A 20,825-nucleotide genomic window follows, 5' to 3' on the forward strand; every position below is an offset into this window, starting at 1 on the left:
GAGAACGCCGGGGCGGCCCGAAGATGGCGGCGGTGGCTGGATCTGGGGCTGCCGCGGCTCCGAGCTCACTGCTCCTCGTGGTGGGCAGCGAGTTCGGGAGCCCGGGGCTCCTCACCTACGTCCTGGAGGAGCTCGAAAGAGGTCGGGCTGGCCTGGGGGCCCGCGGGAGCCCGGGAGGCGGGCCCGTTCGCGCGTCTGGGCCCGGGGCCGGCGGGGTGGGGCGGCGGCGGCGGCGGCGGCGGGACCCGGGCTCCGGGGCGGGGGTCGCGGGCCTGGGGCTGGGTCCCCTTCACCGTTAGGCGCACGACGCGGGCAAAGGCGGGGTGCCCGTGGGTGCCCGCGGAGAAAGTGGCATCCGGGCCTGGGCTGGGCAGGGCTGCCCCGCCCCAACTCCGGGTGAAGATAGGGGAGGGGACACGGGCCTGGGCTTGGGGACCCTTGCAGTTGGACCACGGCTCCGCTTCCCGCCTGACTGGCCTGCCCGGGGGTAGGGCCTGGGGTCGCTTTGGATCTCCAGGTCTTAGCAGCTTAGATAGAGATCTCCCGGAGGGAGAAGCAGATATGGGGGAGGCTGGGCCTGGAGCCCCGGGGCCCGCTTTCTGTTGCCTCACAAGGAGCTGCTAATTGGGGTGTGGGCGGGTGCGGCCTGCCCTGGGGATTTGGCACCTAGGGAGGTGAGTCATAGGCGCACCTGCCAGGTTCACCTGCAGCCACTTGGCTCAGTGGGACTGGCGGGCGTGATGCGCCCGTGGGTGGAGATGGGTGTTCATCCCCCATCCCTCGGAGCATCTGGACCTGGCGTTTCATTGCATGTAAAATGGGACAGGAACACGCACCTCGGTTCATGTGCTTGAGGAGTGTTTAGTGAGCACCTGCTATGCGCCAGGCCTTTGGGCAGTGGACACAGGGATATGGCCGGGATGATAGACAGGTTCAGCCCTGCCAACACAGGTCTGGTTTGGGGATGGACCCAAAGCGAGTGAGGAGATGGAACAAGCTTCCAGCTCACATGGTGTCAGGAAGGATGAGAAGGCTGCAAGGGACTGAGAGGACAGTCAGTCTTAGCACCCGAAGGTGCTGAGGGGGAAGGGCCCCCTGGCCAGTAGGAACAGGTGGGGGCGGCAGGGGGATGGACTTCCAGGCAGGGGAAACAGCTGTTGCAAGGGCGGTGAGTGGAAACGGGTCTGGCAGGGCATAGGAGCAGCGAGGAGGTGGAGATGGAGGAGGTGGAGGCTTTGTTGCTGATGAATCTTGTGTGTAAAATGATGAGGTGTGCTCTGGGTCCCCTGGCTCAGCTGCAGCGAGACCTGAAGGTGTTGGGTACTTCTGAGTCTCCAAGCTGTGAGTGAAGGGAGGAGGCTGGGGCGCTCCCCACCCACGGGGTGCTAATTATTGAAATATTCTGGGAGCTGGGGGGCCCGGCTGAACTCCCGCCTTGATCCCTCCTTCCCACCAGGCATCCGGTCTTGGGATGTCGATCCTGGCGTCTGCAACCTTGATGAACAGCTCAAGGTCTTTGTGTCCCGACACTCTGCCACCTTCTCCAGCATTGTGAAAGGTGAGGCTGGGGTCCCCCTGACTGCTCCCTACCTCTTGTTATTTGGGGAAGTGCCAGCCGTGTGCCAGGCATGGGGGGTGGGATGCAGCTATAAATAACAACAGTAATAATACAGTTGAGACCTTTCAAATGCAAGCCGTGACCCAGTGATAACCCCCTCAGTCCTCAGCAACCCACAGTGCAGGAACTGGTGTTTTTGTCCCTGATTGACAGATGAGGAAATTGGCATTGAAGGGGGAAGAGGCAGGGAGATCTCTGAGGAGGGGGTTTTTTGATGAGAAACTGCTATGACTGGTGTGTCCAGTGGAAGGGAAGGGCCCCAGTCAAGACCCAGCAGTGGACAGAACATCTAGAATGAACCGGGCGCGGTGGCTTACGCCTCTGATCTCAGCACTTTGGGAGGCCGCAGCGGGCGGATCACTTGAGGTCAGGAGTTGGAGACTAGCCTGGCCAACGTGGAGGAACCCTGTCTCTACTAAGAATACAAAAATAACGGCATGGTGGCAGGCGCCTCTAATCCCAGCTACTCGGGAGGCTGAGGTGGGAGGATCACATGAACCCAGGAGGCAGAGGTTACAGTGGGGCTGAGACTGCGCCACTGCACTCCTGCCTGAGTGACAGAGTGGGAGGGACTCTGTCTCAGAACAAACAAACAAACAAAAAACATCTGGAAGGTGGAGGGGCACTGAGCAGGCCCTGGAAGATGGAGTGTGGGCCCCTTGCAGGAAGGGACTGATACTGGTTCACAGCCACAGGCCTGGGTATACAGTAGGCAGGGAACTGAAAAGGAGTGAGATCAAGAAGGGCCCAACTCAGCACGAGGCTCCCTTCTAGGGTGACCCAGGGTGAGCAGAGCAGCAGGCGGGCAGGCAGGGCTTGGGTGTTGCCTGCAGCCGCCCCCGGCTCCTGATGGTCTCTTGAGTCACCTCCCGGCTGCTGCTGGAGAGGAAGGAAGTGTCTGTAGTCTCATTGTCCCAGTTGGTCCTTGTGGCTTCCTGACACTTCATGGGGCAGAAAGTGGAGCTGGAAATCCTGTCTGCTGTGTGTGAACTTCGTGGCCACTTCCCTTCTTTATGCCTTGATTTCCCCACCTGAATGGGGCAATATCCCTGTGTGGCAAAAAGCGTGCTAAGGCTGGGTGGGGTGGCTCTCGCCTGTAATCCCAACACTTTGGGAGGTCAAAGTGGGAGGATTTTTTGAGGTCAGGAGTTCAAAACCAGCTGGGGCAACATGGTGAAACCCTGTCCCTACTGAAAATGCAAAAATGAGCTGGACCTGGTGGTGCACACCTGTAGTCCCAGCTACTCAGGAGCCCGAGGAGGGAGGATCGCTTTTACCCAGGAGGCAGAGGCTGCAGTGAGCTAAGATTGTGCCACTGCACTTCAGCCTGGGCAACAGAGCGAGACCCTGTCTCAAAAAAATAAACTTAGGCCTGACATGGTGGCTCACACCTATAATCCCAGCACTTTGGAAGGCTGAGGTGGGTGGATCACCTGAGGTCAGGAGTTCGAGACCAGCCTGACCAGTATGGTGACACCCCATCTCTACTAAAAATACAAAAATTAGCTGGTTGTGGTGGCAAGCGCCTATAACCCCAGCTACTTGGGAGACTGAGGTTGGAGAATTGCTTGAACTCAGGAGGCAGAGGTTGCAGTGAGCTGAGATCGTGCCACTACACTTCAGCCTGGGCAATAGAGGGAGATTCCATCTCAAAAAAGAGAGAGAGAGAGAGGGAGGGAGGGAGGGAGGGGGAGAGGGAGGGAGAGAGAGAGAGAAAGGAAAGAGAAAGCTAAATGTGATAAGGGCGAGAGAGAGAGAAAGGGAAAAGAAGGAAAGAAAGGAAAGAAAGTTAAATGTGATAAGGGCTGGCAACACTGGAGGGTCTCTGCCTCTCAAGACTCAGCCTTGTTCACAGTTCAGTCCTGCCTCAGGGGCCTTGGCTGGTGCTGTACCCTGGTCCGGGTTGGCCCTCACCGGCCCCCACCCCGGCTCTGGCTCCTTGCCACCCCCCTCTCACAGTACTGATGTTTAAAACACATACGGGCCCTGGGGGACAGAGCAGGGTCAGGATCCCAGAAACAGCCCTACTTCAGCCCCGGCCCTTATGCTGCCCCACCCCTAGCTGAGTCCTGCCTCAGGACCTTTGCTCCGGATGTACCCTCGTCCACGTTCGCCCTCATTGGCCCTCCTCGAGCTCTGGCTCTCTGTCTGAAAAATAAATGTGGCCGGATGGGTGCAGTGGGTCAAGTCTGTAATCCCAGCACTTTGGGAGGCCGAGGCAGGCGGATCACCTGAGGTCAGGAGTTTGAGACCAGCCTGACCCACATGTTAAAACCCCGTCTCTACTAAAAATTGAAAAAATTAATGGGGCGTGGTGGCGTGTGCCTGTAATCCCAGCTACTCGGGAGGCTGAGGCAGGAGAATTGCTTGAACCCAGGAGGCGGAGGTTGCAGTGAGCCCAGGTTGCACTGTTGCACGCCAGCCTGGGCAACAAGAGCAAAACTCCGTCTCAAAAAAAAAGAAAAGAAAAAGGCCGGGCGCGGTGGCTCACGCCTGTAATCCCAGCACTTTGGGAGGCCGAGGCAGGCGGATCACGAGGTCAGGATATGGAGACTATCCTGGCTTACACGGTGAAACCCTGTCTCTACTAAAAATACAAAAACTTAGCCGGGTGTGGTGGCGGGCACCTGTAGTCCTGGCTACTCGGGAGGCTGAGGCAGGAGAATGGCGTGAACCCGGGAGGAGGAGCGGAGCTTGCAGTGAGCAGAGATTGCACCACTGCCCTCCAGCCTGGGCGACAGAGCGAGACTCCGTCTCACAAAAAAAAGAAGAAAATGGTGGCATCACTCCCAGGGGTGACAGCTGCAAACCAGGCCCTGCGCACGATGGGGCCCTCTGGTTACTGCCTCTCTTAGGCCAGCTGGGGTGGTTTGAGTTTCTCTTTCTTGCCTGGTCCTGACCTGCAGCTCTGCCGTGCGCCTGTTAATCTCCATATGATCCCTGGGTGGGTTCCCAGAGGGGTTCATGTTCCCTGAGGGTCACACGGGGAGGCAGGATTTGACTCCGGGACGGCCTGATTCCCCCACAGGCCAGCGGAGCCTGCACCACCGTGGAGACAACCTGGAGACCCTGGTCCTCCTGAACCCATCAGACAAGTCCCTGTATGATGAGGTAGGGAATGGCTGACGTCCTGGAGGGGGCGGGCTGCTGGGACCCGTGCCTTCTCTGTCTTCCTGTCTCGTGTCCTTGTCTTCATGCTGCCCCAGATCCTCTCAAGACACCCGGCACCACACTTCTTCGCCCACGAAGCCTTCCCTGTGGCTTCAGCCTCCGCTTCTTCCCTCCTCTGGGGTGGGAGCAGAAAAGCCTGGACTTTGGGAGGGAGGGGAGGGTAAGCACTCCCAGCTCAGGGCCCAGGACAGCGTGGGTCTGGAGGTGGGAAGGCCAGAGCAGACAGGTTTTCCTCCTGTGGGTTCCCTCCGGCTAGGCCCCAGGAGTTGTCTGAATCGACTCACTAACATTAACCAGCTTGTGGCCATCTGTACTCTACCAATTATACATCCGGAAGATGAACCAGACAGAGCCCTGGGGCATCCCACTACAGACCTTCTTACAGGTTGATTCCTTGGATCAACTTTTCCCTTTTGTTCCCTTGAGGGGCTCTCAGTCTTTAAGAGACAGAGTGAGACACAGACACCCCCAGCCCTGTGGCATCAGGGCTGGGCTGGAGGGAGAGGTGGACTAGAGAGAGCCCAGAAAGGGCAAGTAGTGCCTTCAGGAGGAAGGGACATCAGAGCTGGGCTTTGTAGGATGAATAGGAGTTTGCTAGGGTTGCTCCAGGGCCCAGCAGGAGACCTGGAGACTGCCTTCGTAGCTAGTTGAGCACTGGGCTGGTCGTGGGGTGAGGACAGGAGAGGGGTGGTTATGTATCGACTCGAGGCTACCCCAAAGAGGACTGCTGGATACGTCACTGCACAGAACGGGTCCTTTAGTGTTCACCCCCTCCCTCAGCTCCGGAACCTTCTGTTGGACCCTGCCTCTCACAAGCTACTGGTGTTGGCTGGGCCCTGCCTGGAGGAGACGGGGGAGCTGCTGCTACAGACAGGGGGCTTCTCGCCTCACCACTTCCTCCAGGTCCTGAAGGACAGAGAGGTAAGCCACCCCTTTGCCATCCCCTGCTTCCCCAGCTCTGAATCCTGACTGGGGTGTATCAGGCTGTGTGGCACCAGCGACCTGCTGTTTTCCATGGCCTGGTCTCCCCATCCTCTGTAGGATGGCAGTGGTGACACATGCCTCCTGGCTGTCTGGGGTCAGTCCCATTGCCCGCGAAAGGGTGTGGTGTGAGCTGAGTTTGTAGGTCAGCAGATGTCCCAAAGTCCTGATGAGGGATGGAGCCAAATGGGTCCTTCCTGGTGCCCGCAGTCTGGGTAGGACACATGGGCAAAATGGCAAACCTCACTTTCACATTGTAGTGGGGCACTTAAAAATGGTGAGAAAAGGTTCAGTAGACAGGTGGGGCGTGGAGAGTCTCCTTGGAGGGAGCTGTGCCCTGGGAGGAGAGAATGGTGAGTGTAAAGGCCCTGGGGCAGGGAGGCATTTGAAGGGGAGGGAGAGACAGGAGGTGAGGCCAGATCAAAGAGCCTTGTGGCGCTGGAGAGGGTTGGGTTTTGGCGGGAGGGCCCTGAGGAGCAGGCCCTGGGGGAAAGGATGAGGGTGTCCTCGCCCAGTTTTCCCACCGGGCTAGGTGTTGCCTGGCTCTAGGTGGTCCCTTACCACTCCTCCTCCATACAGATCCGGGACATCCTGGCCACCACGCCCCCACCTGTGCAGCCGCCCATACTCACCATCACCTGCCCCACCTTCGGTGACTGGGCTCAGCTGGCACCCGCTGTGCCTGGCCTTCAGGGGGCGCTCCGGCTCCAGCTGCGGCTGAACCCCCCGGCGCAGCTGCCCAACTCTGAGGGCCTGTGCGAATTCCTGGAGTACGTGGCTGAGTCTCTGGAGCCACCGTCCCCCTTCGAGCTGCTGGAGCCCCCGACCTCCGGGGGCTTCCTCAGGCTGGGCCGGCCCTGCTGCTACATCTTCCCTGGAGGCCTCGGGGATGCCGCCTTCTTCGCCGTCAATGGCTTCACTGTGCTGGTCAACGGTGGCTCAAACCCCAAGTCCAGTTTCTGGAAGCTGGTGCGGCACCTGGACCGCGTGGATGCCGTGCTGGTGACCCACCCTGGCGCCGACAGCCTCCCCGGCCTCAACAGCCTGCTGCGGCGCAAACTGGCGGAGCGCTCCGAGGTGGCTGCTGGTGGGGGCTCCTGGGACGACAGGCTGCGCAGGCTCATCTCCCCCAACCTGGGGGTCGTGTTCTTCAACGCCTGCGAGGCCGCGTCGCGGCTGGCGCGCGGCGAGGATGAGGCGGAGCTGGCGCTGAGCCTCCTGGCGCAGCTGGGCATCACGCCTCTGCCACTCAGCCGCGGCCCCGTGCCAGCCAAACCCACCGTGCTCTTCGAGAAGATGGGCGTGGGCCGGCTGGACATGTATGTGCTGCACCCGCCCTCCGCCGGCGCCGAGCGCACGCTGGCCTCTGTGTGCGCCCTGCTGGTGTGGCACCCCGCCGGCCCCGGCGAGAAGGTGGTGCGCGTGCTGTTCCCCGGTTGCACCCCGCCCGCCTGCCTCCTGGACGGCCTGGTCCGCCTGCAGCACTTGAGGTTCCTGCGAGAGCCCGTGGTGACGCCCCAGGACCTGGAGGGGCCGGGGCGAGCCGAGAGCAAAGAGAGCGTGGGCTCCCGGGACAGCTCGAAGAGAGAGGGCCTCCTGGCCACCCACCCTAGACCTGGCCAGGAGCGCCCTGGGGTGGCCCGCAAGGAGCCAGCACGGGCTGAGGCCCCACGCAAGACTGAGAAAGAAGCCAAGACCCCCCGGGAGTTGAAGAAAGACCCCAAACCGAGTGTCTCCCGGACCCAGCCGCGGGAGGTGCGCCGGGCAGCCTCTTCTGTGCCCAACCTCAAGAAGACGAATGCCCAGGCGGCACCCAAGCCCCGCAAAGCGCCCAGCACGTCCCACTCTGGCTTCCCGCCGGTGGCAAATGGACCCCGCAGCCCGCCCAGCCTCCGATGTGGAGAAGCCAGCCCCCCCAGTGCAGCCTGCGGCTCTCCGGCCTCCCAGCTGGTGGCCACGCCCAGCCTGGAGCTGGGGCCGATCCCAGCCGGGGAGGAGAAGGCACTGGAGCTGCCTTTGGCCGCCAGCTCAATCCCAAGGCCACGCACACCCTCCCCTGAGTCCCACCGGAGCCCCGCAGAGGGCAGCGAGCGGCTGTCGCTGAGCCCACTGCGGGGCGGGGAGGCCGGGCCAGACGCCTCACCCACAGTGACCACACCCACGGTGACCACGCCCTCACTACCCGCAGAGGTGGGCTCCCCGCACTCGACCGAGGTGGACGAGTCCCTGTCGGTGTCCTTTGAGCAGGTGCTGCCGCCATCCGCCCCCACCAGTGAGGCTGGGCTGAGCCTCCCGCTGCGTGGCCCCCGGGCGCGGCGCTCGGCTTCCCCACACGATGTGGACCTGTGCCTGGTGTCACCCTGTGAATTTGAGCATCGCAAGGCGGTGCCAATGGCACCGGCACCTGCGTCCCCCGGCAGCTCGAATGACAGCAGTGCCCGGTCACAGGAACGGGCAGGTGGGCTGGGGGCCGAGGAGACGCCACCCACATCGGTCAGCGAGTCCCTGCCCACCCTGTCTGACTCGGATCCCGTGCCCCTGGCCCCCGGTGCGGCAGACTCAGACGAAGACACAGAGGGCTTTGGAGTCCCTCGCCACGACCCTTTGCCTGACCCCCTCAAGGTCCCCCCACCACTGCCTGACCCATCCAGCATCTGCATGGTGGACCCCGAGATGCTGCCCCCCAAGACAGCACGGCAAACGGAGAACGTCAGCCGCACCCGGAAGCCCCTGGCCCGCCCCAACTCACGCGCTGCCGCCCCCAAAGCCACTCCAGTGGCTGCTGCCAAAACCAAGGGGCTTGCTGGTGGGGACCGTGCCAGCCGACCACTCAGTGCCCGGAGTGAGCCCAGTGAGAAGGGAGGCCGGGCACCCCTGTCCAGAAAGTCCTCAACCCCCAAGACTGCCACTCGAGGCCCGTCGGGTGAGTACTGGAGCTGGGGCCCTGGGCTGGGTTAGCAGCTGCTTAGGCTGGAGAGCATAGCTCGTCCCCCTGTTTTTACATTTTCAGTTTTTTTAAAAGAGATGGTCTCACTCTGTCTCTGAGCTGGAGTGCAGTGGTGTGGTCACAGCTCATTGCAGCCTTGAACAATGGGGCTCAAGCCACCCTCCCACCTCAGCCTCTCCAGTAGCTGGGACTACTGGCACCGCCACTACCCCTGCCTAATTTTAAAGTTTTTGGTAGAGATAGGGTCTTACTATGTTGCCTGGGCTGATTTCAAACTCCTGGCCTCAAGCTGTGTGCCCACCTCAGCCTCCCAAAGTGTTGGGATGACTGGCGTGAGCCACGGTGCCCTGCCAGTTCTGTTCTTTTTTTTTTTTTTGAGACAGAATTTCGTTCTTGTTGCCCAGGCAAGAATGCAATGGCACGATCTTGGCTGACTGCAACCTCTGACTCCCGGGTTCAAACAATTCTCCTGTCTCAGCCTCCCGAGTAGGTGGGATTACAGGTGCCTGCCACCACGCCTGGCTAATTTTTGTATTTTTAGTAGAGTTGGGGTTTCACCATGTTGGCCAGGCTGGTCTCGAACTCCGGACCTCAGGTGATCTGCCCACCTTGGCCTCCCAAAGTGCTGGGATTACAGGCATGAGCCACTGCACCCAGCCAAGTCCTCCTGTTCGTAATTACTTCGTGACCTCAGCCGTGCCCACCTCTCCGGGGCTCAGTTTCTCCTGTGAAATGGAAACTGACCTCAGTGTTGAAGCACTTGCCATTCTGAGGTGCCTGGACAGGTGAGCACGTATGCCAACTGTGGGTTTCTAGAAGCCACAATAAGTAAAATGAAACAGTTGAAAATTTAAATAGCGTATTTTATGTAACTGATTGGTTAGGAGGACCCGGCCTATGGTTGCACTCATAGCAGAGCAAAATCAGCAAAGAGAAAAGGCACATAGGGTGAAGTCCAAAGGAAACCAGGCAGAAGCTTCCAGAATCCTCTCCCAGTGGGGCTGCACACCACAGGCTTCATTTCTCCAGTAGCAAGTTGTAACAGTGTGTCCCTCATGGAAGCTCATTAGACACAGCATGCCCAGGTTTCCTATTGGGCCATTACATAGGCATCTTCTGCCTGGCACCCACACTCTAGACTCCCCAAAAAGGAGAAATCAGGTGTGTGGTCCAGTCCAGGCACAGGGAGCCCCTCTCAGACAGGGAATGGTGGGAACCCTCTGCCTAAGATCCAAATTCCCAGAGACCAGCCAAAGGCTCACATTTTAAGCAGGCCTTGCTGAGAGGAGGGTCTCTGGCCTGCTGTGCTGTTCTTTGTTTTTTTTCTGAGACAGAGTCTCACTCTGTCATCCAGGCTGGAGTGCAGTGGCGCAAACATGGCTCACTGCAGCCTCGACCTCCTGGGTTCAAGCAACCCTCCCACCTCAACCTCCCGAACAGGTGGGACCACAGACACGCACCATAACGGCCAGCTAATTTTTTTTTGAGATGGAGTCTTGCTCTGTCACCAGGCTGGAGTGCAGTGGTGCGATCTGAGCTCACTGCAACCTCTACCTCCCGGGGTCAAGCGATTCTCCTACCTCAGCCTCCCAAGTAGCTGAGATTACAGGCATGCGCAACCATGCCCAGCTAATTTTTGTATTTTTAGTAGAGATGGGGTTTCACCATGCTGGTCAGGCCGGTCTCGAACTCCTGGCCTCGTGATCTGCCCGCCTCGGCCTCCCAAAGTACTGGGATTACAGACGTGAGCCACTGTGCCCAGCCTACGCCCAGCTAATTTTAAAATTTTTCAGTAGCACTGGGGTCTCACTATGTTGCCCTGGCTGGTCTTGAACTCCTGAACTCAAGTGATCCTTTGGCCTCGGCCTCCCAAAGTGCTGGGATTATAGGCATAAGCCACCACGCCCGACTCAACGTTTAATTTTGGATGAACCGCCAGACTGTTTTCCACAGCAGCTGCTTGACGCTAGCCAGTCTAATGGGTGTGAGGTGGGATCTCATTGTGGTTTTGATTTCCATGTCCCTAATGATTAGTGATGTTGCATCTTTTCATATGCCTATTGGCCATTTGTCTGTCTTCTTTGGAGAAATGTCTATTCAATTCCTTTGCTCATTTTAAAATTTTGTTTTACTTTTTAGAGACAGGGTCTCGGTCTGTTACCCATGCTGGAGTGTAGTGCAAACACAGCTCATTATAGCCTCAACTTCCTGGGCTCAAGTGATCCTCCCAGCTCAGCCTCCCAAGTAGCTGGGACTACACAGGTGCATGCCATCGTGCCTGGCCAATTGTTTAATGTTTTGTAGAGATGGAGTCTCACTATGTTGCCCAGGCTGATCTTGAACTCCCAGCCTCAAGCGATTCTCTCGCCTTGGCCTCCCAAACTGTTGGGATTACAGGCATGAGCCACCATACCTAGCCCCCTTTGCCCATTTTTAAATTGAGTTGTTTTCCGTTGCTGAGTTTTAGGAGTTTTTTAAATCATTCTGGACATTAATCCTTTAGCAGATAAATGGCTTGCAAATATTTCCTCCCATTCTGTGAGCTGCCTTTTTATTCTTTTGATAGTGCCCTTTGATGCACAAAAGTTTTAAATTCTCATGAAGTCCATTTTGTCTATTTTTTTCTTTTGTTGTCTGCACTTTTGATGTCAGACCCAATAAATGATTGCCACATCGATTTTTTTTCTTTTTTCTTTTTCTTTTTTTTTTTTTTCAGATGAGTCTGGCTCTGTTGCCCAGGCTGCAGCATGGGAGCACTATCTTGGCTCACTGCAACCTCCGCCTCCCGGGTTCAAGCGATTCTCCTGCCTCAGCCTTCCTGAGTAGCTGCGATTACAGGCACCCACCACCACACCTGGCTAATTTTTTTTGTGTTTTTAGTAGACACGGGGTTTCACCACGTTGGCCAGGCTGGTTTCAAACTCCTGACCTCAAGTGATCTGCCCGCCTCGGCCTCCCAGAGTACTAAGATTATAGATGTGAGTCACCATGCCTGGTCAAATCCAACAGTGAGAAGCTTCTACCCCATGTTTTCTTCCAGGAGTTTTAAGTTTTCCATTTCACATTTAGGTCCATTTGGAGGTAATTTTTGTATGTGGTGAAAAGATCCAGTGTCATTCTCTTGCATGTGGAAGCCCAGCTTTCCCAGCACCATTTGTTGAAAAGACTATCCTTTCCCCATTGAATGTTTGGAACGCTTGTTGAAGATCATTTCAGCATACATGTGATGATTTATTTCCGGGCCTCTATTGTATTCCATTGGTCTATATGTCTGTCTTTATGCCAGTGCCACGCTGTTTTGATTACTGTAGCTTTGTAGTAAGTTTTGAAATCTGGAAGTGTGAGTCCTCTATCTTGATTCTTCTATTTCATGATTGTTTAATCTCCTTTTCACATTGTTCATTGTTCATGTATAGAAATTCAACTGTGTTTTGCCTGTGGACTTTGTACCTTGCTTCTTTGCTGAATTCGTTTATTATTATTTTTTGAGATGGAGTCTCACTCTGTCGCCCAGGCTGGAGTGCAGTGGCACAATCTCAGCTCACTGCAACCTCCACTTCCTGGGTTCAAGCAGTTCTCCTGCCTCTGCCTCCCGAGTAGCTGGGATTACAGGCACCTGCCACCACGCCCAGCTAATTTTTGTATTTTTAGTAAGAGACAGGGTTTCGCCATGTTGGCTAGGCTGGTCTTGAACTCCTGACCTCAAGTGATCTGCCTGCCTCAGCCTCCCAAAGTGCTGGGATTACAGGCGTGAGCCACTGCACCCCCAGGCCTGATTTTTTACATTATTGTTCATAAAGTCTGTTGAACTGGCATTTTCTTGTAGAATTAAATATCTGTGCCTGGCTTTGGTATTAAGACAATTCTGGTCTTATAAAATGAGTTAGGAAGTGTTCCTTCCTCTTCAGTTCCTCGGAAAAGTTTGAGAAAGGCTGATGTTAGTTCTCTAAATGTTTAGTGGCTTCCCCAGGGCTTTTCTTTGTTGGGAGGTCGTAAGTTACTGATTCATTCTCCTTGCTAGCTACAGGTATGTGCTGATTTTCTATTTTTGTGATTGTGTCTTGGTAGTTTTTGTGTTTCTAGGAATGTGTCCATTTCGGCTGAGGGTATGCATTTGTTGGTATACAGACGGGGTAGTACTCTTACCCCCTGAGCTGGGCAGCAGCTGTGATTGTAAGATGCAGGGTCTGGCAGGCTTCTTGTGCCCGAGACCCAGCCGTATCCTTTCATTTCATTGATCATTCACTTGCCCAGGGCTGGTGGCCTTGTCCCCTTTGGCCCTAAGGTCAGGGTTTGGACAAGGCCCCCAGAGCTGCTGTCTCATCCGCATCCAGCATCCCGCAGTGATCTTGGGCCCGCCTCTCAAGGCTCTGTCCACCCACCCTGGCTCCCCATCACCCTTGGGGCAGGGATTCTGTCTGTCTTGGTCACAGCCCTGTTTCAGGGCCTGGTGCCCATGAGGTTCTGTTAAATGCCCCTTGAGCAAGTGAACCAGACAAATGCTGCAGAAGCAGCAGATGGTCCAGGCACTGGCTGCTTTCAGGGCTCAAACTCTTAAACCCTCTTCCAGGAAGCATTCCCTGATTGCCACCCACTCGCCCCCCAGCCCTGGGGATGTCTATGTCCAGGGACTGGCTGGGGATGAGTCAGGCTCTAGGCACAAAGGGGTGGCCGGTGGTGTTTGTAGAGTGAGTGAAGAGTCACTGGAGTCAAGGCGTGGTGACATGCACCTGTAGTCCCATCTACTTGGAAGGCTGAGGCAGGAGGATCACTTGAGCCCAGGAGTTTGTGACGAGCCTGGGCAGCATAGCGAGACCCCATTTCTTAAAATAAGATTCACTGGAGTCATGAGCGCACCAGGCCTCCCCAGAAAACTCTGAGTTCAGGCCTCCTGCTGAGGAGGGAGCTGCTCTGAGTGGTGCAGGTCGAACTTGGAGCCTCGGCCCCTCCCCAGCCCCAGGAGCTCATCCCTGCCTCCCCATCCCCCCGCCCGCAGGGTCAGCCAGCAGCCGGCCCGGGGTGTCAGCCACCCCACCCAAGTCCCCGGTCTACCTGGACCTGGCCTACCTGCCCAGCGGGAGCAGCGCCCACCTGGTGGATGAGGAGTTCTTCCAGCGCGTGCGCGCGCTCTGCTACGTCATCAGTGGCCAGGACCAGCGCAAGGAGGAAGGCATGCGGGCCGTCCTGGACGCGCTACTGGCCAGCAAGCAGCATTGGGACCGTGACCTGCAGGTGCGTGTCACCCCAGGGCCTCTGGTGGTAAGTGTAGTTAGCACAGATGGGTAAAACCACCCTCGACCCTCAGAGACTAAGCTGTGTTCCCCAGGCCACACGGGAATGGGGGCGAATGTGGGAGTCTCACATGGCTCAGCCCTTAGGGGTCTCTTCGGACTCTGATTCTGTCGTGTCACTGTTGTCATTGGCTGTGCTGGAAGCCTGGGGGAGGACGCAGGGCCTCGTGAAGCCTCATGGTTCTATCCCTTCCCCAGACACCTTGTCACTTAGCCATTGTTCCGCTGTGAGAATTAGTCGGGATGGAATAGGTGGGCTGGGTGGTATCTGTGCGGCTGAGAACCCTCCCCCATGGCTGCATGAAGCTGAGAGACTGAAACCAAGCCCTGCAGGGCGAGGTGCATGTGGGCAGAGGGAGGACCGCCTCACACCGCGGCCCCTGCCCTCTCATAGCTGCTAGGCTGGCTTCAAAGGAGTGTCCCTGTAGGGTGCACGACCCAGGAAAAGGCCCAGAGGTAGGAAAGAGGTTGGTGTGTTCAAGGAGCAGGGGGAGATCCAAGTGAGTAGAGAGGGGTCTCAGGCCAAGGAAGGCCTTGCAGAGGAGGAGCTCCGTCTCCTGTGTGCTGAGAAGGCTCTTTGGGTGCTGGTTGGGAGGAACAGGGACCTCACAGACGGGCTGACCACCCATTGCAGACCTCAAGGTGGAGCACACAAGATCAGGGAAAAGCCAGGAGGGGTCTCAAATGCCAGGAAAGGAAGGCGACTTGGGCCCAGGCCAGAAGGGCAGGGGGCACCCCCCTCACTGGTGGTCCACTCTCCCCACACACCCCCCCTCCACCTGCAGGTGACCCTGATCCCCACTTTCGACTCGGTGGCCATGCATACGTGGTACGCAGAGACGCACGCCCGGCACCAGGCGCTGGGCATCACGGTGTTGGGCAGCAACAGCATGGTGTCCATGCAGGATGACGCCTTCCCGGCCTGCAAGGTGGAGTTCTAGCCCCATCGCCGACACGCCCCCCACTCAGCCCAGCCCGCCTGTCCCTAGATTCAGCCACATCAGAAATAAACTGTGACTACACTTGGCTGTGGCCTCTCTTCTTTCTGTGATGGGAGACTTGGCATGTACCTCCTGGTCCTGCGGGTGGGGACAGCTTCCATGGAATCCCCAGTGACCCTGCGGTCAGGCCCACTCTGGCCTCCATGTCGCAGATGGGAGAAATGCAGGCTTCGCTGGGCCTGGTTTGGGGAAGGAAGTGCCTCTCAGAGTTAATGACCACTGACCGGTGGAGCTCCTGACTATGGCCTCCATCCCGACTCAGCAACTGTGAGGGGCCCAAGTTATAGGCGCGAAGTAGCTACCTGACTATCTGTCACACAAACCAGTTGGTGGCAGGGGGAGATTGAATACCTGTCTCTGCTCCAAAGCCATCAAACAAAAGCTATCCTGCTGTCCCTAGAGGAGATGGATGCTTATTCCAGAAAGTCTTACTCTGCAGGAAGGATTTACAGAGGAATCTGAAACCCAGAGATTACAGAATATCCACTTCTGACTAATGCACCCTGACCCCTCTCTGCAGAAATACAAGCACTTAGGTTTACTATTAGATACAATGTCATCTGTACTGGGTTGAATGGCAGCCAGCCCCCAAAACACATTCAACACCTGACCCCTGACACCTGTGAATGTGATGTTATTTTGAAAAAGGATCTTTGCAGATACAGTTTTATTATTTTTTGAGATGGAGTCTTGCTCTGTCACCCACGCTGGAGTGCAGTGGGGCGATCTTGGCTCACTGCAACCCCCGCCTCCTAGATTCAAGCGATTCTTGTGCCTCAGCCTCTCTAGTAGCTGGGATTACAGGCACACGCCACCACGCCCGGCTAATTTTTGTATTTTTAGTAGAGACGGGGTTTCACCAGGTTGGCCAGGCTGGTCTCGAACTCCTGACCTCAGATGATCCACCCGCCTCGGTCTCCCGAAGTGCTGGATTACAGGTGTGAGCCACCATATGCCTGGCCCTTCACAGGGTCTTACGGTCACAGGGTAGGTGATCAGGAAGGGCAGGTGGAGCAGAGGAGCCATGCCTGTGCCTGCCACCTCCTGTCCAATGCCTGCTAGCAATGCCAAGATCGCTAAGCTCAGCCAGCCACCTCCCACTTCCACCTACCCACCCTCCACACCTCTGCAGCGGAAACTTAACAGGGATGGGAGTCCTGGGAGAAAGGCCCCAGCCTAGGCGAGTTGACACAGCAGTGCAAAGCCAGCCCTGCCCAGTTCCCCATCAGCTGGCACTCAAGTTATGGCCTTTTCTCCGTTGCCAGGGTAAGGATGGACCTCTTCTGGGGTCACCATTTATACATGAGGATGATTCCCCTGGGTTTCTTGTTTTGGCCAAACTGTCTAGTGACCCCTGCTGCCTACTTGTTCTTATTTCAATTGTCCCGTTATCAGGGAGGTTTCTTTCTATTTATGGGCTCTTTCTTTTTTTTTTTTTTTTGAGACAGTTTCTCTCTCTTGTCCAGGCTGGAGTGCAATGGTGCAATCTCAGCTCACAGCAACCTCAGGCTCCGAGGTTCAAGCAATTCTCGTGCCTCAGGCTCCCGAGTAGCTGGGATTACCGGCATGTTCCACCATGCCCGGCTAATTTTTGTATTTTTAGTAGAAATGGGGTTTTGCCATGTTGACCAAGCTGGTCTCAAACTCCCGGCCTCAAGTGATCCACCCACTTCAGCCTCCCAAAGTACTGGGATTCCAGGCATGAGCCACCGTGCCCAGCCCAGGCCTTTTTCCTTCTTTCTCTTGAGACAGGGTCTCGCTCAGTCACCTAGATGACTGCAGTGGCACAATGTCGGCTCACTGCAACCTCTGCCTCCTGGGCTTAAGTGATCCTCCCACCTCAGCCTCCTGAGTAGCTGGGACTGCCTGGCTAATTTTTTGTATTTTTGGTAGAGCCGGGGTTTTGCCATGTTGGCCAGGCTGGTCTTGAACTCCTAACCTCAGGTGATCCACCCACTTTGGCCTCCCAAAGTGCTAGGATTACAGGCATGAGCCACTGGGCCCAGCCCTTTTTTTTTCTTTTGAGACAGGGCCTCACTGTTGCCCAGGCTGGAGGGCAGTGGCATGATCATGTCTCATTGCAGCCTCGACCTCCCAGACTCAAGTGATCCTCCGACCTTGGCCTCCCAAGTAAGTAGGACCACAGGTGTGCGTCACCACACCCGCCTAATTTCTTTTATTATTTGTAGAGATGAGATCTCACTATGTTGCCCAGGCTGATCATGAACTCCTGGGCTCAAGCGATCCTACTTCGGCCTCCCAAAGTGCTGGGATTTACAGGCGTGAGCCACTGTGCCTGGCTTACAGGCCTTTTTCTAATTAGCTGGTTTGATATTTTTCTCATTGGGTATTTGTCTTTTTCTCATTCCTACACAATTTTCTTTTTTAAATTAGGGATAATAAACTTATGTGGTAAATGTTTTCCAAATGTACTTTTCCATTTTGTTTAGGCATGATTTTGCTGTAGAGATATATATATTTTTTTGATGGTCTCTCGTTGCCCAGGCTGGAGTGCAGTGGGTGGGATCACAGTCACTGCAGCCTGGAACTTCTAGCTTCAAGTGATCCTCCCACCTCAGCCTCCCAAAGTGCTGGAATTACAGGCATGAGCCACTGCACCTGGCCAAACTGCAACTTTTTTTTTAAAACGGAGTCTTGCTCTGTCACCCAGGCTGGAGTGCAGTGGCGCGATCTTGGCTCACTGCAAGCTCTGCCTCCCGGGTTCACGCCATTCTCCTGCCTCAGCCTCCCGAGTAGCTGGGACTACAGGCGCCTGCCACCACGCCCAGCTAACTTTTTTTTTGTAATTTTAGTAGAGATGGTGTTTCTGTCTCTATTAAGATGAGGAGAGTACATAGAACTTGCCAGTCATTTCAACAAATGTTGTAAATGGACAGAAATCTCTAGTTAAAAGGCAAAAGGTGGCTGGGCACGGTGGTTCATGCCTGTAATCCCAGCACTTTGGGAGGCTGAGGTGGGCAGATCACTTGAGGTCAGGATTTCGAGACCCCCAACTTGGGCAATGTAGTGAAACCCCATCTCCACTAAAAATACAAAAATTAGCCAGGCATGGTGGCACATGCCTGTAATCCCAGCTACTCAGGAGGAGGCTGAGGCAGGAGAATCACTTAAACCTGGGAGGAAGGACGTTGCAGTGAGGCGATCGTGCCACTGCATTCCAACCTGGGCGACAGAGCAAGACTCTGAAAAAAAAAAAAAAAAAAAAAAAAAGCCAAAGAATAAACTTTGTTGGTATTGTAAGCCATATAGTCTGTCCAGACCACTGAATTCCTTTGTTGTAGGCTGAACAGACTACAACAAATGGGTGTGGTATAAACATAGAACCAGTCCAATCTGGTTCAGCTTTGTTAGTAACAAAATGTAACAAAATGATGAGTCGTTTTTCAGTGCAATGGACCCCCAGGGTGCAAGTCACATATCGCTGGAGCATTAACAGATGAACAAAGCATGCCCAATTCATAACCCTTGGGTGGAATGAAAAAGTCAACTACAGGTAGAACCCAAGTACTCGGATCAAGGAATGGGGACTATGCTGGGCGTGGTGACTCATGCCTGTAATCCCAGCACTTTGGGAGGCCCAGGCAGACGGATCACCTGAGGTCAGGAGTTCGAGCCTGGCCAACATGGTGAAACCGTCTCTACTAAAAATACAAAAGAAACTAACGGGGCATGGTGGTGCGCACCTGTAATCCCAGCTACTCAGGAGGCTGAGGCAGGGAGAGTTGCTTGAACCCAGGAAGTAGAGATTGCAGTGAGCTGAGATCCCACCGTCACTGAGATCCAGCCTGGGTGACAGAGCGAGGCTCCATCTCAAAAAAAAAAAAAGGAATGGGGACCAAATTAAAAAGAGAAAGCTGGGTGTGGTGTCTCATGCCCAGGAATTGGAGACTAGCCTGGGCAACATAGTGAGACCCCGTCTACAAAAGATACAAAAATTAGCTGTGTGTTGTAACATACGCCTGTAGTCCCAGCTACTTGGGAGGCTGGGGTGGGAAGATCACTTGAGCTTCCGGAGGTTGAGGCTACAGATAGCTGTGATTTCGCCATTGCACTCTAGCCTGGGCAACAGAGCAAGACCCTGTCTCAAAAAATAAAAGGGGGAGGGCGGTGCCTTGTTTACTGCAGTGTGGACTTGAGCACCAAAAACACATCATCGCCCCTGCACGTGATGCAGTCATATCACCCCCATTGCATTTCCGTATCTCTCCCATGATAACCCTCTGCCTATGAAACCTGCCCCCAAGCTCCAGCTTGAAGAGACAGATTTGAACTTCGCCTACTGTCTCCTTGCCAGTTGACTCTCAAAAAAGCTTTTTAGGCCAGGTGCAGTGGCTCATGCCTGTAATCCCAGCACTTTGGGAGGCCGAGGCAGACGCATCACTTGAGGTCAGGAGTTCAAGATCAGCCTGGCCAACATGGAGAAACCCCATCTCTACTAAAAATACAAAAATTAGCCAGGTGTGCTGGTGCACGTCTTGTAATCCCAGCTACTCTGTGGCAGAAGAATTGCTTGAACCTGGGAGGCAGAGGTTGCAGTAAGCTGAGATCGCACCACTGCACTCCAGCCTGGGCAACAGAGCAAGATTCTGTCTCAAAACAAAATAAAAACAAAAACTGTTGGAAGTTCCTCCCACTGGGCAAACAGTGTCAGGTGGGCGAGTGAAACACAAAGAAGCAACAGCCCATGGTGTGAGGTGTGGGGAGGTGGCACGCGCACCCCGAGGGCTCAGAGGAAGCCTTTTAGCGCTGCCGCCTTGGGGGTTAAAGGAGGCTTCCCAAGGATGCAAAAGGGTGAGCCTTATTAGGGAAGGGGAAGGGTGCTCCTGGAGGAGGGACCGGCAGAGGCAAAGGCCTGGTTTGCTGGAGGAACTGAGAGAAGGGTGACATTGACGCCCCCGCAAAGGGGGAAGAGTGTGGGAGGCAGCTGCCTGGAGGCCTCACTGAGCAGCTGGGACCAAATCCCATGGGGCCCTGGGGGAGGGGAGACGCAGGGGAAGCGGGCTTAAAGTGGACTTGGGAGAGGCCCGCCAGTGGAAGAGGGGTGGGGGTGGGGGTGCCAGGTCCTGGTGGGGCGTGGCCAGAGCTCATTTCTGGGAAGATGTCAGCTCTTCCCAGAGAGAGGCAGTGATGGGGCAGGGCGTGGTGGAGCCCTGCCTGGTATGGTACCTCCTCCAGGTAGCCCTCCTTGCTACCTCTTAGTCCACTGCCTGGACCCTTCCTGACTCCCTCTCTTAAAAGTGTCCTGGCCAGGCATGGTGGCTTACGCCTGTCATCCCAGCACTTTGGGAAGCTGAGGCAGGCGGATCACCAGAAGTCGGGAGTTTGAGAACAGCCTGGCCAACATAGTCACACCCCGTCTCTACTAAAAATACAAAAATTAGGGCCGGATGCAGTGTCTCACTCCTGTCATCCTAGCGCTTTGGGAGGGTGAGGTGGGTGGCTCACCTGAGGTCAGGAGTTCGAGACCAGCCTGACCAACCTGGTTAGCGGGGCGTGGTGGCACACGCCTGTAATCCCAGCTACTCTGGAGCCTGAGGCAGGAGAATCACTTGAACCCGGGAGGCAGAGGTTGCAGTTACCCGAGATCGCGTCACTGCACTCCAGCCTGGGCGACAAAAGCAAAACTCCGTCTCAAAAAAAAAAAAAAAAAATTATTCGGGCGTGGTGGTGGGTGCCTGTAATCCCAGCTACTCGAGAGGATAAGGCAGGAGAATCGCTTGAACCTGGGAGGTGAAGGTTGCAGTGAGCTGAGATGGCCTGGGCAACAAAGTGAGACTGTCTCAAAATAAATAAAT

General features: G+C 55.8%; 1 protein-coding gene and 1 long non-coding RNA gene across 4 annotated transcripts in view, besides 4 other annotated features; one reads left to right on the forward strand and one right to left on the reverse strand.

The window, feature by feature from the left end:
* On the forward strand, positions 1–15,034 carry MAP1S (microtubule associated protein 1S). 2 transcript variants are annotated; one of them, NM_018174.6, is made up of 7 exons: positions 1–141; positions 1,457–1,558; positions 4,647–4,729; positions 5,570–5,710; positions 6,350–8,693; positions 13,714–13,949; positions 14,794–15,034. In NM_018174.6, the coding sequence occupies exons 1-7, from the start codon at positions 24–26 to the stop codon at positions 14,947–14,949; spliced, it is 3,180 nt and encodes a 1,059-aa protein (NP_060644.4). In that variant the 5' UTR covers positions 1–23; the 3' UTR covers positions 14,950–15,034. The 2 variants fall into 2 exon arrangements, with proteins under 2 accessions (NP_060644.4, NP_001295292.1); NM_001308363.2 differs by lacking the exon at positions 1–141 and adding an exon at positions 677–951.
* Positions 183–232: a silencer, noted in NCBI's record as "silent region_10358". NCBI's record gives its function as "represses an Ori minimal core promoter by ATAC-STARR-seq in GM12878 lymphoblastoid cells {active_cell/tissue: GM12878}" and the evidence as "EXISTENCE:reporter gene assay evidence [ECO:0000049][PMID:35858748]".
* Positions 583–652: an enhancer, noted in NCBI's record as "active region_14282". NCBI's record gives its function as "activates an Ori minimal core promoter by ATAC-STARR-seq in GM12878 lymphoblastoid cells {active_cell/tissue: GM12878}" and the evidence as "EXISTENCE:reporter gene assay evidence [ECO:0000049][PMID:35858748]".
* Positions 1,043–1,192: an enhancer, noted in NCBI's record as "active region_14283". NCBI's record gives its function as "activates an Ori minimal core promoter by ATAC-STARR-seq in GM12878 lymphoblastoid cells {active_cell/tissue: GM12878}" and the evidence as "EXISTENCE:reporter gene assay evidence [ECO:0000049][PMID:35858748]".
* The window catches only part of FCHO1-AS1 (FCHO1 antisense RNA 1), an 18,063-nt gene continuing 11,093 nt past the window's right edge, over positions 13,856–20,825 (reverse strand). For both annotated transcript variants that reach the window (XR_007067152.1, XR_007067151.1), the window contains 2 exons: positions 14,788–15,188; positions 13,856–13,943 (listed from right to left, as the gene is read on the reverse strand). This is a non-coding gene — a long non-coding RNA (FCHO1 antisense RNA 1). The remainder of the gene's footprint in view (positions 13,944–14,787; positions 15,189–20,825) is intronic.
* Positions 19,384–19,884: an enhancer, noted in NCBI's record as "H3K4me1 hESC enhancer chr19:17849672-17850172 (GRCh37/hg19 assembly coordinates)". NCBI's record gives its function as "activates a minimal SCP1, AML or CMV promoter by ChIP-STARR-seq in primed H9 embryonic stem cells {active_cell/tissue: H9 hESC(primed)}" and the evidence as "EXISTENCE:reporter gene assay evidence [ECO:0000049][PMID:30033119]".

This window comes from Homo sapiens, chromosome 19 (assembly GCF_000001405.40).
Source record: "Homo sapiens chromosome 19, GRCh38.p14 Primary Assembly".
NCBI classification, from domain to species: domain Eukaryota; kingdom Metazoa; phylum Chordata; class Mammalia; order Primates; family Hominidae; genus Homo; species Homo sapiens.